General features: G+C 37.2%; 1 long non-coding RNA gene across 1 annotated transcript; it reads right to left on the reverse strand.

Annotated features, from left to right (window-relative positions):
- Positions 1–671: 671 nt before the first annotated feature.
- LOC105373682 (uncharacterized) lies at positions 672–16,368 on the reverse strand. The gene is made up of 2 exons (XR_923467.3): positions 16,121–16,368; positions 672–2,871 (listed from the first exon to the last, which is right to left on the reverse strand). It is a non-coding gene; the product is annotated as an uncharacterized LOC105373682 (long non-coding RNA).
- Between the last annotated feature and the right edge of the window lie 160 nt (positions 16,369–16,528).

Genomic DNA, 16,528 nt, shown 5'->3' on the forward strand with positions numbered 1-16,528 from the left:
ATGTAAATAAAAAAATAAATGGGATATCATGTTTTACTTCTCAGGAAGACAACAAATTTAAAAGTTTGAGGTCATCTGGAGCTGTTAGAGAGCTGGGAAATGTGAGCTCTCATAAATTGTTAAGTGAGATAATAATTTGGTATAATTTTACAAAAGGAAAATTTGCCAATACCTATCAAAATATAAAATAAACATGTCTTTGACCCAGTAATTTTACTACATATACACACACTCAAATAAAGTTTACTTCTAAAAATGCCCCTGAATATACATGAAAAAATTTTATGTTAATATGTGTGTTTAATTATTTGTGTGTGGCATGGCCTTATCTTCACACATATGGGTGTCCATTGCAGCACTGTCTGTAAAAGATTAAAACTAGATACGACCAAAGTCCATCTGCAGGGATGTGGGACTGTAAAATAATAAAACACTGTAAAGTCATTAAAAAGAATAAATTAGACCTGTATGAAATTATATGGAAATATCACATAATGCAAGTGAAGGAAGCAAAGTGTAGGACAGTCTATCTAGTATGATTATTTTGTTATGAAATAAACATACAAACGTGCAGGGAAAAGAAAGACACAAGGACATGCAATGACCTCCAACCCCCACTGTAAGATATATAAAACCGTCAATCAGTTACACTTTGGAGAAAGCCTGGGAGGTGGGGTGGGCACAAAGGAAAAGAATTTTATTTTTTTGACTTGTACATTTTTGTATATTTTTAGCCTCATACATTGCTAATTTTATAAAAATACCAAAAAGTTATCTGACAAGGAAAATTATCCAACTCTTGTTTTCTCCTTTGTACTTCTCTGCACTAAATATTAGCTAATACATTAATATATACATATAGTTTCCTGGCTCTTTTTCTTGCATGTTGAAAATCAAAGTTAAATTTCTCTACCAGTTATATAATTAAAGCCTGTCAGATTCAAAGAGAAATTATGAAAACTGATTTTCTAAGAAAGGGAGGACATAAGGATGCACCACTGATGCTCTTACTTTTAATAAATCCTTTTCTTTAAACAGCAATAGGTTTTCTAGCCAATCTTTTAATGTGATTCTTCTGCTCATGCCAATTCATGTCTGGGGATGGTTTCGCTGCCTTTAGTTAAACACTAAAGAGTTGTCAGGCAAAGGCACCAAGTCAGGCGTCTTCAGGACAGATACCGAAACACAGAAAGGACCAAAAAAACAGAAGTAAAATAAACCTGAGAACTTAAATAAAATGGACAAATTCCTTTAAAGGTAAAAATTAGCAAAACTACAACATGAAAGAGAAATTCTGAATAGTTTTATAGCTATTAAACAAATGGAATTACTAAGTAAAACCCAGTAACAACTAGTGTACTATTATATATACTAAAATCTAAAACCTGACAATAGCTAGAATGATCTATATGGTAATTGATTAGAGTAGGAGACATTAATATGAATTCATGTTAGATTAATGTAGATATAGAGATAGATTATATGTAGAAATATTTATCGATTATATACTGCTGGAGTGAAAGCACACAGGTATCTGTATAAAAAGGATCATTATCTCTTACATCATGGCATATGAAAAAATTAACTTAAAATACATCACAGACCTGAAGGTAAAACTTAACTATAAAACTTCTTATAAAAAAAGAATAAAAATCTTTGTATCCCTGGGATAGGCAAAGATTTTTACACAGAACACAGAAAACACAAAATCATAAATTTTAAAAATAAAAAAATTGTATTTTATCAAATGAAAACCTTTTTCTCTTTGTAAGACAACATTATGAACATTAAAAAGCAAGCCACGAAGTGAGAGGAGTTATTCGTAATATGTAGATCTGACGAAGGACTTTATTCAGAATACATAAAGATATATCACAACTCAATAATGAGAAAAACAAGCTATTTAATAAATGAGGAAAAGATTTGAAAAGATGTTTCAAATGTGTGGCGGGGGCAAGGGGTATATGGGACATCTCTGTAACTTCCTTTCAGTTTTGCTGTGAACCTAAAACTGTTCTAAGAAAATAACGTCTTTTTTTAAAAAGCAGGCATTTTATAGCATAGGCTAAAACTGCATATGCAGCCATGATATAATTCTATGGATACACGCACATCATATGGAAATGTTCCTTGACTGGGTCTTAAAAAGTAACATAAAATGAAATAAAGAAAAATCAAATAATTTCTAATCAATCAGTTTACAATCCTGGGAATTTTTCATTTAGCTAAACTTACCATAGAGATAACATAAGATGCAAGAAACAAACCAAAAAAAAAAAAAAGAAAAAAAGAAAGAAAGAAAGAAAGGAAATAAGAAAGAAAGGAAGTCCATTAAGCAGAATTCAAGTTGTCACATATTTATAGCTCCATCAGAGGGGTCCATTTGTTAACAGCCGATGAACCTATGTTGACACATCATAATCACTCAAAGTCCACAGTTTACATTAGAGTTTGCTATTGCTGTTGTACATCCTATGAGCTTTGACAAATGTATAATGACACGTATCCATTTTTATAGTGTCATATAGACTAGTTTCACTGCCTTAAAAATCCTCTGTGCTCCAGGTATCCATCCCCCAATCCCCAACCCCTGGTAACCACTGATCTTTTTATGGTGTCCATAGTTTTGTCATTTCCAGATGTCATATACTTGGAATACAGAGTATGTAACCTCTTCAGATTGGCTTCTATCACTTAGTAATATGCATTTAAGTTTCCTCCATGGCTTTTCATGGCTTGATAGCACATTTCTTTTTAGTGCTGAATAATATTCCATTGTCAGGACGTACCACAGTTAATTTATTTGTTCACTTGCTGAAGGATATCGGCATCATGGTTGCTTCCAAGTTTTGACAATTACGAACAAAGCTGCTGTAAATATAAAAAAAAGAAAAGACATTTCAGAGAAGAACACATGACATCTAATAAGTACATTTAAAAGTGCTCAACATCATAAGTCATCAGGGAAAAAAGTTAAAATCACCATGAGATACCTCTACATACTCATTGAAATAGCTAAAATTAAAATGACTAACATCAAATGTTGGTTGGAATATAAAGCAACTAAAATTTGTATCTATTTTCTTGGGACTACAAAATGGTAAAATCAATTTGGAAAAATGTTTGGCAGCTTCTGCTAAAGCTGAACATACATCTACCATTAAATCCAGACATTCTACTCCTAGATATTTGCCTAAGATGAAAACATATAGCCACACAAAAACTTGTACACAAATGTTTATGGCAATTATTTTTTGATAATCAAAAATCAGAGGGAGGGGACCCAAATGTCTATAAAACAGATGAATGTATAAACTGCAATGTGTCCACACAAAGAAATAATAATTAGCAATAAAAAAGATCAAAGTACTAATTTAGCAACATAGATGAATCTCAAAATTATGTTGATTGAAAGAAACAGAGCATTCTGTTATTTTTACACTTTTGTATAAAATTTAGAAAACGCAAACAATCTGTAACGACAGAAAGTAGACCTGTGGTTGCCTGGTGCCAAAGGCAATGTGTAAAATCAATTTTAGAGAGGAAAGAGGAATTGGGGAGGGAGATGGTGATAAAAATGCCGTGTCTCCATTGTAGTGATGGTTTCTTGGGTGTATACGGGTGTCAAAACTCACATAATTGTATTTATTGTACATAAATTATATTGCAATAAAGTTTTTTAAAGAGTCATTTACCTATTATTTTAGACAGAAATCATCAAGAATTGAGAGAAACATACACAAGAGTTGGAGTAAAAGGTGGAGCCAAGATTTAGTCCTAGCTGATAAATATCAGGAAGGCAGAATCAAGAGAAAGATATCTTTGGTCTTAACTGCAAGAGATGGCAAGTTACCAGGTCTGACACTGATGTGTTCAAAGGTTCTGGTGTTGTGATAGGAGGTGTTATCTCACCAAGTTGCTTTCTCTAATCCATTCCTTCTTTAACTGGTCCCCATACTCCCTGCCTCTGAAGCTATGGATTCCAAGGTTAACACTCACCTTAGAACTCTGCCATATAAATAGTAAGATATTATCTGTTAAGCCAATGTTTCAAGTAGTGATGTCTAACAATCATTTAATGTCCTCTTCCTTCAACACCCCAACCCCAGTTGAGACATTTGACTTTTAACAGGGTGCTCCCACATTTAGTAGAACCCACACTGTAAACTCTATAAAGGTGTGAGTCACGGCACTAAGGCTGATGAAGGGCGGGATGAGTTCAATCAGTGGAGCTTTTAGCTTGGCTCCTGCAACCATGAGATATTTTCCCTTCTAACAGTAAGGTCTGCCCTACCAAATTGTAAAAGAATGAAGACCAGGACTTTTAGCAAACAGAAAATCACCCACACAAAATCAGAGTGTCCCCAGGACAAATGGCACCTTTCCAGGACATCTTCTGAGTTCTACCACTGTTGTCATCTCATGCTTCAGTAGGGGACTCAGGTGCAAAGGTAGGGCACACATGCCCTAGGTGACCTCCTCAGAACCCTGACCTATTTCTTTCAACTACTTGCCCATATGCAAAGGCAACCTAATAGAATCAAAAGAGTTTCTTTTTAAAGCAGGTGTGTGATCTTGTGTGGGCAGCTTTTTAACTTCTACCCCGTGAGAAAAGCAAACATCTTAAGCAATCAAAAATTATGTAGTATGTGTAGTAATTGTTTCACAAGCTAATAATTTTTCTCCTCCCTTCCTTTTCCCTTCCCTCAGTGCAAGCTGTAGTGGCTTGAATTGTGTTCCACAAAAAGATACACCGAAGTTCTAATTCCAGTACCTGTGAATGTAACCTTATTTGAACACAGGGTCTTTGCTGATGTAATTAGTTAAGGATCTCCAGATGAAATCATCCTGGATTTAGAGTAAGCCCTGAATGCAATGACTGGTGTCTTTATAAGAGGAAAGGACACTCAGAGGAAAGGACACACAGAGACACAGAGCAGAAGGCCATGTGAAGATAGAGGCAGAGAGGAGCTGCAGGCCACAGAGCACCGAGGACCACTGCGAGCCTCCAGCAGCTAGGAGGAGGCAGGAAAGATTCTCCCCTAGAGCCTTCCAAGGAAGTACGGCCCTGCTGTCACTTTGATTTCTGACTTCAGGTCTCCAGAGCTGTGAGAGAATAAATTTCTGTTGTTTTCAGCAACCTAGTTTGTGGAAATTTGTTATGGCAGGCCTAGGACACGAAATATACAGGCCAATCCTATAAACCCACCCAGAGCACCAATAATATTTAATTTAGACCATGTCCCAAAGCTATGTCAGAAGAGCAAAGAACTAAAATTATAAGCTGTAATTTTTCATGCTGGGTGCAGTGGCTCATGTACTTGGGGAGGGCGAGGAAGAACAATGGCCTGGGCGACATAGCAAATTCTCTCTACAAAAATATTTTAAAAAATAAAAAATGTGCTGGGTGTGGTGGTGCATGCCTGTAGTCCTAGCTACTCAGGAGGCTGAGGTGGGAGGATCACTTGAGCTTGGGAGATCGAGGCTGCAGCTGCAGTGAGCTAGATTATGCCACTGCAATCCAGGCTGGGCAACAGAGTGAGACCCTGTCTCAAAAAAAAAATAAAATTGTAAATCTAGTTTAAGATAAAATCAAAATACTAAATGATGTCATGTAGAGAAAAGCCAAGAGCTGTTAAAATTGCACAGTGGTACAAGTATTTTGAAAAACTACCTGGTATTATCTTGTAAAGCTGAAGATGTGCACATCCTTTCACAGAACATGACTACAGTAGAGAAACTGTTGCACATATTGACAAGTGTAAGAATCTTTCTCAAACATCGTTGTTTCTAATAGCCACAAACTGGAAATAATCCAAATGTCCATCAACAGCATAACAATATACAAAATGCACTGTATATTTACAAATAAAATGTTATTCTACAGTGAATATTCATAAAATACAGCTACATGCAACCAACTGAATGACTTTTTCAAACATGATGTTGAATCAAAGGCAAGAATATACATATGTATATATATATATATACATATAGCATGATTTCATTTATATAAAATCTTGAAGATAGTTCTCAAATGTAAATTATGTTATTTGAAGATGAATACTTGGGTAGTAAAACTGTAAAGCAGAACAAGATAGTGATTAATATAAAATTCAGGATAGTAGCTAACTCTAAAAGGGAAGGTCAGTGGTTATGATAGGGAAGAAATACACAGGGCTGAGGGGAGGGGTGGGCTTTTATTGCATTGATAACTTTCTTTTTATTTCGTTGGGTGGTGGTTTTGTGATTATTTATATTTTTTCTATACCTTTATTCATTATATTATTTTTCTTAATATAAACTATTTTTTAAAATAATTTTTTTGAAAAATGATAAAGGATAAAAAAGGAACAAAAAATATCAACAGAAGCATAAAATGTTCCTATTCACGTTGAAGAAATGTGTATGTTTTCATGTGGTTCTTTCACATTATCTTTCCTGCTCTGGTTTCCAGCCTGTCAGCTAAACTCTTGTCAAGGCATTTTCTACTGAAATCCACGGTTCTGGAAAAGAAGGGAATGTGATGGAAAAGCTCAGCAAATCTCAACTGTTACCTTGGGGTCAGGGCTCTATGGAGAATGTGGTTTAGCTTTGCCACAGACTACCTCCCCCAAAGCTGCTAAGTGGTGACAGAGCTTGGTTGGGGATTGGTGTAGGTGCAGAAAGAGGCCAGCTAACATGTAGCACTTTGCCAATTCAGAACGGATTTTCACGTGGTCTTGTCTGAGCCTCACCCTAGCTCTGTGAGAACACCTTACTGCTGCTGTTATACTTTTGAGATTGTTAATGCTGCAGAGAAATTAAGGGACTTGTGCAAAGTCACAAATTAGGGAAATGACAGTGCCAGAATTGGAAACCAAGTTTTCCCCAGTGGAATTTGGTGACCTTTAATGGAGTTCTGTGGCAAATTTACTGACATCCACATAAATGTGGCAGGAGACTCTGCAGTACTTAACTGATTTGATGCAAATGTCTCAAACTCAGGCTGTCATGGTGGGCTGTGAGCCAGCAGGCTCTGATGGGCTGTCCAGAACACAGACATGGTTTAAGCTAATCACAGTACATCTGAAGACATTAGTCTTTTGTAAGGCTTGTACATATGGCATAGTCAGAAGACAACATTAATATTGCTCATGAGGGTTTGTACTGCTTAGCAAAGTCCTTCGTTTCTCTTCCATGTGGTTGATATTCCATACCCTCCCAAACATTACACACTCCTAGCCAAACCTCAGTTCTTTATAAACTCAAAGCAATGAATCACTTAGTAAATCATTTCAGATAAATAGACAGAATCAGATCTCCGTTTGGATTTCCTGCTGAAGAAAGTAGTGTGCCGACCCTGGCTATTTCATATTGCTGCCCTCCATGCCAATAAATCAACCACTTGCAATATTGTTTCTAAGAAATCTCCCAGGTCGTCGTGAGGTTTCAACAGAGGATATATGAAAAGACTGAACAAATATGATTGTTTCATCCTCATTTCTTTCCTCAAAGCTTTTGCAAATTTAAGCAAGCTATTTTTTTATGATCTCCTCAATGAATTGCAGAAGTCTATTGAAACCATTCCTGGTATTAGTACTTTGACTTTAGGTGTCAAAAGGTAAAGTTTGCATCCCTTAAATGCTTTGATAAAGTAACTTTGAAATAAAATATAAGCTACAATAAAATCCAAACTGAGGTCCCAGTCAGCATTAAGATGGATATATTTCTCTTGCTTTTTCAAGATGATTCTATCATACACAATGCATTTGAGACATAGGCCAATGAATTAGTAATTTTGCAGAATGGTAAAGCTTCGTTAAAATCACTAGAATCTGGTAGACAGAGACAAATCAAAGATGGCATTGTAATGAAACAGCACATGGTTGCAATGGTGTTTGCTTATTATCTATTAAGCTGCATGTGATGCTGGATTTAGGCATAATTTACTCCCTATTCTAAGATGGGACTGGTCACCTTGTGGATATGTAAAAGAGCATTCAGGTCACCTCCTTTTCTCTCCTCAGCCCTGCCTGAGAGTTACCTTCATAGTACAATTGCACAGGCCTTTATCACCTAAAATAATCTCTCCATTGTCACCATGCTTCCATTTCAAATGAAAAACAAGAAGAAAACGAGTTGGAACCTTAGTACAGTATACCTCATTTGAAGAATTAGGAAGCCCTACATCTAGAGTTTGTCTTTTAAGTTAGGATGGCACACGTATCATATAATCGATATATAAGAATAAGGCAATTATTTTATTTTTAGTGTCTGGTGGAGTCCAAGGAAAGGCCATGGAGAGAATGGCTGTCATCTGGAGCTGGAATCTAGCATGACTGAGGTGCATGACTCTGGTGAACCAAGTAACAATGGCATTCCTTTTCTCAGTGCTCTCACTGTGCGTTTACATCTAAATGAAATTGTCTTTGATATGAGAATATACAAAGATATAAAGAGGAACAAATCAGTCCGGATTCTTAGACCAATAATTGCAGAAAAATTTAAGTATTTTTACACCTACTGGAAACCTTCACTTGAAATTGCTGGAAGACTTAGAACCCATAAACCTCAGTTTCCAAATCTGTAAAATAAGGATAATAACTGTACTTTCTTTACTGGGTTGCTGTGAAGGTTTAATGAAATCATATAAAGTACTTAACAAGAAGTTGAGTACCTAGTAATTGCTTAATAAAAGTTACAATTAATGATTATATTTGCATTGTTTCCCAGCTAAAATATTCATTTGCATATAAAATTTTAAGGTTAATAAGGTGAAGCAATAATAAAAATACCATATACCAGAATATTGTGTTGCAACCTAAATATCGATTTTTCCTCCATTATGTCATTTACTGTTCACAGACATCTCAAGGTTCTATATTTCCGTGTTCCAGGAGAGAAAACCAAAACTAATCTCTCTGGGGAGTTCATACACAGAAAGCAGAAATATTGCATTGCACTTGTATAAATTGATTGTATTAAAGACTGTCTCAAACATTTCCAAAAATTGGTTTCAACTTTTTTAAACTAATATGACTTTGAACTATATTTTATAATTTTGATCATGACAAAATGTTCTTAAATTGTACTCTGACCATTCAGTCAGAAGTGCCATATTCAAGTAAGCCTCTTTCATTTTCCTTTTGTGTGTCTTTCTTTAAAAATAAGGAGAATATTAAAGGTATATGTGCAGGAATATGTCACGTGTGCAAAGGCACCTCATGGGATTTTAATCAGCAGGTATCTCAGGGACCTTTTGCAAGAAGGATGAAATGGAGGTGCAAATAAGGTAGTGGCTTTATTTTGTTTGCTTGTTTTCAACAAAAGCTTTATCCAATTAACCATGGGATAGGTTAATGATAATTTCTTACAGAACAACTGTGTTAAATCTATGAAGTGTTGCTATTTTCATGGGAATTGGGGGGTGATTAAAAAGATTTAATGGTTCCTTAAAATAGCAAATGACACCTAATCTAGGTAAAGCAATGAGCTAGCTCCATCCTGCCTGAACAATAGAATCACCTGGAGCTTTCAGAAATGACTCAAGTCTGCACCTCACCCACAAGAAATGGAGACTTAACGGGTCTGCAGCGGGGCCTAAACACTGATATGACGTAAAAGCTCTTCAGGCGTTTCTAGTCTGCAGCTGTGGTTGGGAGTTACTTTGATGTTACTGTGATAGATGAATAAAAGACAAAATTTAATGTCCCATCAAGGAGCTTCAAATCCTGCTTAAAGAAAATATACTTCAAAAATTTATTGATATACTTTCAACAGGTGCTGAATGACCTGATTGCTGATAAATTTCATATTTCTTTCTCTTCCTTTCTCTCCTGTCTCATCTATCCCTCTAGCAATAAAATGACTGGAGGCCAGAGACAGAGAAATTATACCTTAGAATAAATTGTAGAAATTTCAAGGGCCACTTAGTAATATGTTTTGTTGCAGGTACCCTTAATTACTCAGAAAAGACATTTTTTTGAAAAAGGATGCCCAACAAGTATCCCCAAAAAATGTACCCAAAAAGTGTCCAACTACAATTATAGATGCTTAGGGAGTCTGCTAATTGTGAGAACTGAGCATTAAGAATGGACTGTGTTGGCTTTATTTAAGGCTCTGTTGATGCTCATGTGTTTGGTGATAAAAGGGAATCCAGGGCTTTCCCATTAGTTTTATCTTCATCTCTGCCGTCCTCACTAAACCACAGGAAGCTATAATGTGAACCCAGTTTTGTTATACCATGAGGAACCAAGCTTGCCCTGTTCATAGGCTATGCCAAAAGCTGGAAAAGTCCCCGTGGAGGAAATGTGATTCCAATTTGGGTATGAAAGTACAATTCCCCCCTGCCAGGTTTAAATTGAGAGCATATTACTCATTTTTAGTTAATTTCTCAGCCTACAGAATAATTTGGCACATGTGTGCAGTATGTGTTCTCTCAGCTGCTTCCTTAGGGACCCCGGCCTTGACGGGATAGTCGTAATTGGGGGGAAAAGTTAATCAATGAGAATCGTGGTTAAACACTCTATTTATGTAAGAAAATACGTGTATTAAAATTAAAAGCAGAGCAATCAAAACAAGAGGAGCAGATTAATACATTTTTCTTATCTCTGACAATCTTTTTCTTAATGTCAAGGCCTGAAGCCCATGAAGGTACAGAAATGAAATGCAATGGTTCTCAAAGCACGTGTTCTGAGAAGAAAGAGGATCGTAGTAAGTCAGTGTGGGAGAAGCCATCCTGTTCATGGGGAAACTAAACCTTCCCATGGATTTTAAATTCAGATCCTTTCTCATAGATTTCTTATTGGTGTACTGAAAACTTCAAAGGAGATTTTTCAGGCTTTTCTTTTCATCCCTTTTAAGTGTATTCCTTTTTAACATGAAAAATTATTGCCATCTCCTATGTGACTGTAGTCTCCCTAATTCAGAAAAATACACAATGCTCAAAAGCTCCTATGTACGTATGTATGTATAATACACATTTATACATTATATATACTATGAAGTGCAATTGCATTTGCATACATTTGAAAAATAGTGGTAGATACAAGGTCACCTAAGTTTCTCCCTGTTTTGTAGTCAATGGTCATTCTTTCCTTTGACAAACAAAATACATTCCTAGGTAGCCATCCTAGCTGTCTGCGGTTCGCTCACTATGTTCTGAAGATTCCTGAGTAGGTTGCTTCTTCCTTCCAACTCGGTTTCTTTTTCCCCGCAACTCATCTGACTTTCATGACTGCCATCCTTCCATCTGATTTCATCACCCCAGGCATGGACACAAATTCCTCCCCTTCATTGGCTAAAATGTTACCCGTACAATAGTGTTGTGCATAAATAAGACTTTCGGTAAAGATCTGGGAGTAACAGCAGGGTGCTATCACACCACAGCAAGGGAGGCCATTTAAAATTGAACATCACACATTGTGTTGGCCAGTCATGTGTCAAGCATGCCTTACCAAATATTATTTCACACTCCCACCCCCTGCCCCTTTCTTCTCAGGATCTAGCTGGGATCTGCTCTCTTCTTTTTAGCAGATGGAGGAGTTGGAGTGCAGTGGGGAGATCATAGTTAGCTGCAGTCTCAAACCCCTGGGTTCAGGTGATCCTCCCACCTCAGCCTCTCCTGAGTAGTGATCTGCTGTCTTCTAACCAATAATTATTTTAACCAATAATTTCTCCTACATCTAGCACCCCTTTATCAACAACCTTTCCTCCTGCCTCAGACCCTCCCCCACAGCAATGAGGATTCCAACTTAGCTTGTCTCTGACATCGGGGTAAATTGAAAATCTCTATTATTTCATGACACAGAGAAATTTCAATCCCTTTGTTATTATTGTGTGTTTTATGATTAATATAAAAAGCCCCATTATGTGTCTTTCTTCCTGCCCTCTCAGAGCAATCTGCCCATACTTCAGTCAATTGTAGCACAGTAGCTTTTTCTCCCTGCTATAACTATGACCGACAACTATTTATTTGGCTTACAGCAGCATTGGTGCACCTCTTAGAACCCCCTTCAATGTGCCCCATTAAAGATCTACAGCCACCCCAGCTTGGAAACAGCTGATCTCTACAACAGTAAAACTCGTGAGTGGGCAAATGAGGTCTGTGACACAGTTCACTTTTGGTGAAAACACGCTTTCCTCTTTACTTTATCATGAATTTTGCTCCTTGTTCTTTTCCTCACCTGCTTTCTTTAATAAAGATGATGAACACTTACAGAGAAAAAGTAAAGGAAGACCTGTAGCAAGGTGTTAACTCTCCCAGAAGCACCGCATTTGAATGTGCAACACAATCTTAAGCCAAGACAGTTTAAACAAAAAATGAGTGTCTTTGGCTGTGAGATATTAATCATCCCAAAGCAGAGGGAGAATATGTCTTTGGGGGAAAGGGGCCTTCCCAGCTTCCTGGAATTGTACAGTATAACATGACTTCCTATTCCATCTTTCTATATGCCTCCCTTTTGTAGACTAGCTTACTTTAACAAAAGAATTGAAATGGATGAGGTCCAAGTGAAGTCATACCTTCCTCTTCTCGTCCATAGTACTGGATTAATAGCTCAAGCCTGTGCTTCTTTCTTTATCCTCCAAACTGCCCACAGCCCCTACTTCCTGCTAGGTATTCAGCAGATAACCAGTGCTCAGTGCTCTGGTCTTATAAAGCACTGATTGATTTCTGAATGTTAGAAATATGCATCTCTCTTCCTTACAAAAGTTAATTAAATTGTAAACTCGCCAATCATGCTGTACACTTGCATTTTGGAAGAGTGCCAATTAAATATTCAGCGACTGGCATAATGTCGCAGTGGTTACAATCGTGAATCAGAATCAGACCCCCTGGGTCTCCAACTCAGCTCTGACATGTACCGGGTGACCCAGGGAAGGTTATTTAATACATCTGGCATAGTTTCATCATATGTAAAATGGGAATAATAAAGTACCTGCTTCTTGGGTTTGCTGCAGGAATAAAACAAGGCAATTTCTGTTTAATGCTTAAAATGGTGTATGGCAAGAAATTCAAATATGGCTTTGTATGTCTGCTTTCACTGAAGTATCTGTGTGATAGCTGTAGGTTTCAAGGTGATGGTAAAGCTGAACTTAGAACATACAAAGAAAAGTGCAATGAATTGGCTACACAGCTCTAGAAGTTCTAGCTTCTTCAAAACTATAAAATGCAGAGGGGAGAAAAAAAGGAACTAGTTATGAAGAGATTTATTTGGAAAGATCTGTTGCTGACTGGTCCCTAGAATTTGTCTGGGAGTGGATGGCTGGGATGTGTGGTCTTGTTACCTTTTAGCCCACTGTTTTGTAAATTTGAACTGAGAAAGGAATTCAATGTGAATATTTTGAGACCTGCCTATACCGTGTCTGGGGCTGAAGAACATTGTGGATCTCACTCCTGCTTCAGGGATCAGGAAAGGTAAATAAACAGAGATGGGCTCAGTGCCTGGGAAACAGAGGCAGGACCATTTTTATGGGTTAGAGACAGCCTGCGGAGCAAGTATTTGTCAGAGCAAAGGGTTTAGTTGCTTTTCTGAGGAGCAGATGCTGACTATCCAGGAGAGAGAAAGTTACCTGGTACATGTACAGTCACACAGAGTTGCCTGAGAGGGATGGAGGACCCCAGCAGCTAAAGCCAGAGGGGAGCATCAGTGTTTGAAAGGAGTCACATGCAACCACCCAGTGCAAGGATGCATTGGTGTGTTCAAGGTTATTGCAAGAGGGTGAGTGCACCTAGCTTCTGCAATGAGATTTGGGAAGAATCAAGCAAGTGTTCCAGAGAGATATAGACAGATTTTTCAACATTTGCCAGGCTGGAGACTCAGCAAAGAGTTTCAGTTAGAATCCAAAGACAGTCTGCTGGCAGAATTCCTCCTGGCTTGCAGGAGGTCAGTCTTTGTTCTATTAGGGCCTTCAACTGATTGGCTAAGGCTCACAATGTTATGGTGTTCAATTTGCTGTACTCAGAATGCACTGTTTTAAATGTCAATCTCATCTAAAAAAAATACCTTCACAGAAACATCAAGAATAATAATTGACCAAATATCTGGGTACTATGGCCTAACCAAATTGACACATAGATTTAATCATCACAGATGGGTTGCAGGGAAGAGTATGCAAGCAAGTGAATGAAAGAGGAAAGCCAGACACATCCCTTTCCCACTTTGGGTTTGCGGAACTTGGGAAAGCAGGGAGGACTTGACGTTAAATTACACGGTGACTTTGATTTATTATGTACTAGATCTTCTGATTGTTCACATAAAAGTATCTGTACAACCCCAAGTAGACTTAGGATGCTGGTAAAGAAAGTACTGATACTGCCCAAGCAGGCTAAAATATTAAACTTTTTAAAAAGAATAGCAGTATACCAAAAAAAACGGAACAAAACAAGTCTTTCGATTACCCCAGAAGTATTCATGCATAGTATACCAGTTACATGCACCTGGTACATGGTAAACATTCAGCAAATACTCACTACTATTACTACATATACATACACATATGATAATTTCCAGTAAATCCCACACAAAATCTATATACTTTTATATATATGGTTTTTTGATGGTTCCACATAAATTTAGACTGACGGCCTGAAATAGCAGCAAACATTCAGCAAAAAAACCAATTTTTAAATGTATTTACTTCTTTTGTAAAATTATATTCCAAAGATTGCTTTATGTTTTGATGTTTCACATAACTATATTTCCTGAACTTTGCTCTGTGGTGGGATTTATATATATAAACTTTAAAACTTAAACATACTCATGCTATGTCTTTGTTGATGTTCATTATTGTCTGTAGTCTTGGAGCACTATTGACTCTTAGGTGAACCAATAATCATCTTGCTGAATTGAAGTAGGAAGTTGTAATTAAAGAATTTGCTTACTAGTCTACCTTCCCTTGCTCCTTCTCCCTCTGAGTTTCTCTCTTCACAATATACCTGCCTACTCTGCTACTCTGGATTCCAGAAAACATAGTTGCGTGTGGTACTCAAAGTAAGTCGATCAGTCAGAGACATCAGTTAGCTTGACCCAATACTGGTGTTCAAAGGTCCTTTTATAGATGTTATTCTCTAGGCTGTACGAACAGCCTTTTAAGAGATGCTTTTAAGGTTGGAGATGAAGATCAATAAGAATAAATTGGGTGCCCAGATCTAAGGATGTAAAAGGCTTGCATTAAGACGGCAATTGGCTTTCTTACACAAATAAACCCTTTCAGTTACAGCTTTAGTGGGTTTAATTTAGCCATGAGCTTCTTGATAATCATTTTTTTCTTGTTTTTTCTTGTATTTGTTTGTTTTATTATCTTTTATTCAAGGGAGTTAGGACTTGATTACACGAGACTTAACCCAAGATTGTTATATAAATTTTGACTTTACTTTTAAAAATTTCTGCTAAAGCACTAGCTGAAGTAGTTCTTACTTCAAAATAAAATGTATGTGTAAACTCATGGGACCTATAACCCAAAATAAATTACTGTAGTGGGTCACTGGTTAAAAAGAGAGGTGGACTGGGGATGGAATTGTGTTGTCTTACTTTCCGGAACAATAAAGGGAAAGACTTGGCTGCATCCTTTGGCAACGTACTGCATGTTAACTAATTTGTGGTGAAGGTTTAAACAAAATTCATGCGGGAAAATCAAGCAGTTTCAAGAGCCCCATTCTCATTCCATCAGACCACTTTGAAAATAAGACACTGCCAAGTTTTTGAAAGTGGGGTAGAAAGAATGTAAGTCTCGCCATTGACTTTTCAATGCTAAATAAGTCAAAAGGCTTGCCAATTGGAAGACAGAATGAACACCAGCATCCACAATGATGCCGGCAATGGCCCTGGTAAATGTTGAGTCTCGGAAATTGAAATTGTGACACTGTACTCATATTAAGCAGCAGGAAGGAGATGATCCTCAGAATTCTGTCAATTTAAGTGTCTGATACCCTTTCAACAACCTGTGCCTTTTTGTTAAAACTCAGAAAAGCACTTTATAAAAAAATAAAGTGTGTTTTTTTTAATCAGTTCTCTAGGCTGTAAATCATAACCAATTCATATTTCTTCAACATCTGCTAGGAGCTGTAACATACATTAATAAAATTGGGTAGTAAATTTAGCATAAAGAAGAGATACAAAAAAGAAGGCACACTTACATGAAAATATGAAAAGAAAGAATGGACTTGGAAAGAAAATCTTCTAGAGAGAAGAAAGCTGCCCATCCAATTTCCACCCTGGTATTGCCCGTGATTGCATCACATTGCAAACTCTCATTGCCAGGCTTGTCCATTTTCTTTTTGGGTCCTGAGATCATTTTATCACAGTTTCTAAGATGTCACCTTCTCCTCTCTTTCAGGGAAGGGCTCCCCATGCCTCTGAAAGTTACTGAAAGGCAGGTCCTACTGAAGCCCCAAGAGCTGAAAATCTGAGAAGGTAGTGAAAGTGACCAGAGCTCTCCCTGCCAGCAGTCATAGGGCTTTCCAAGTAGGCAACCAGGAAAGTAAACATGCCAAGGGGCAGAACAGGAGGTCCTCTCTGGGTAAACAAAGCATGCTTCCCACATG

Source organism: Homo sapiens, chromosome 2 (genome assembly GCF_000001405.40).
Source record: "Homo sapiens chromosome 2, GRCh38.p14 Primary Assembly".
In the NCBI taxonomy this organism is placed as follows: Eukaryota; Metazoa; Chordata; class Mammalia; order Primates; family Hominidae; genus Homo; species Homo sapiens.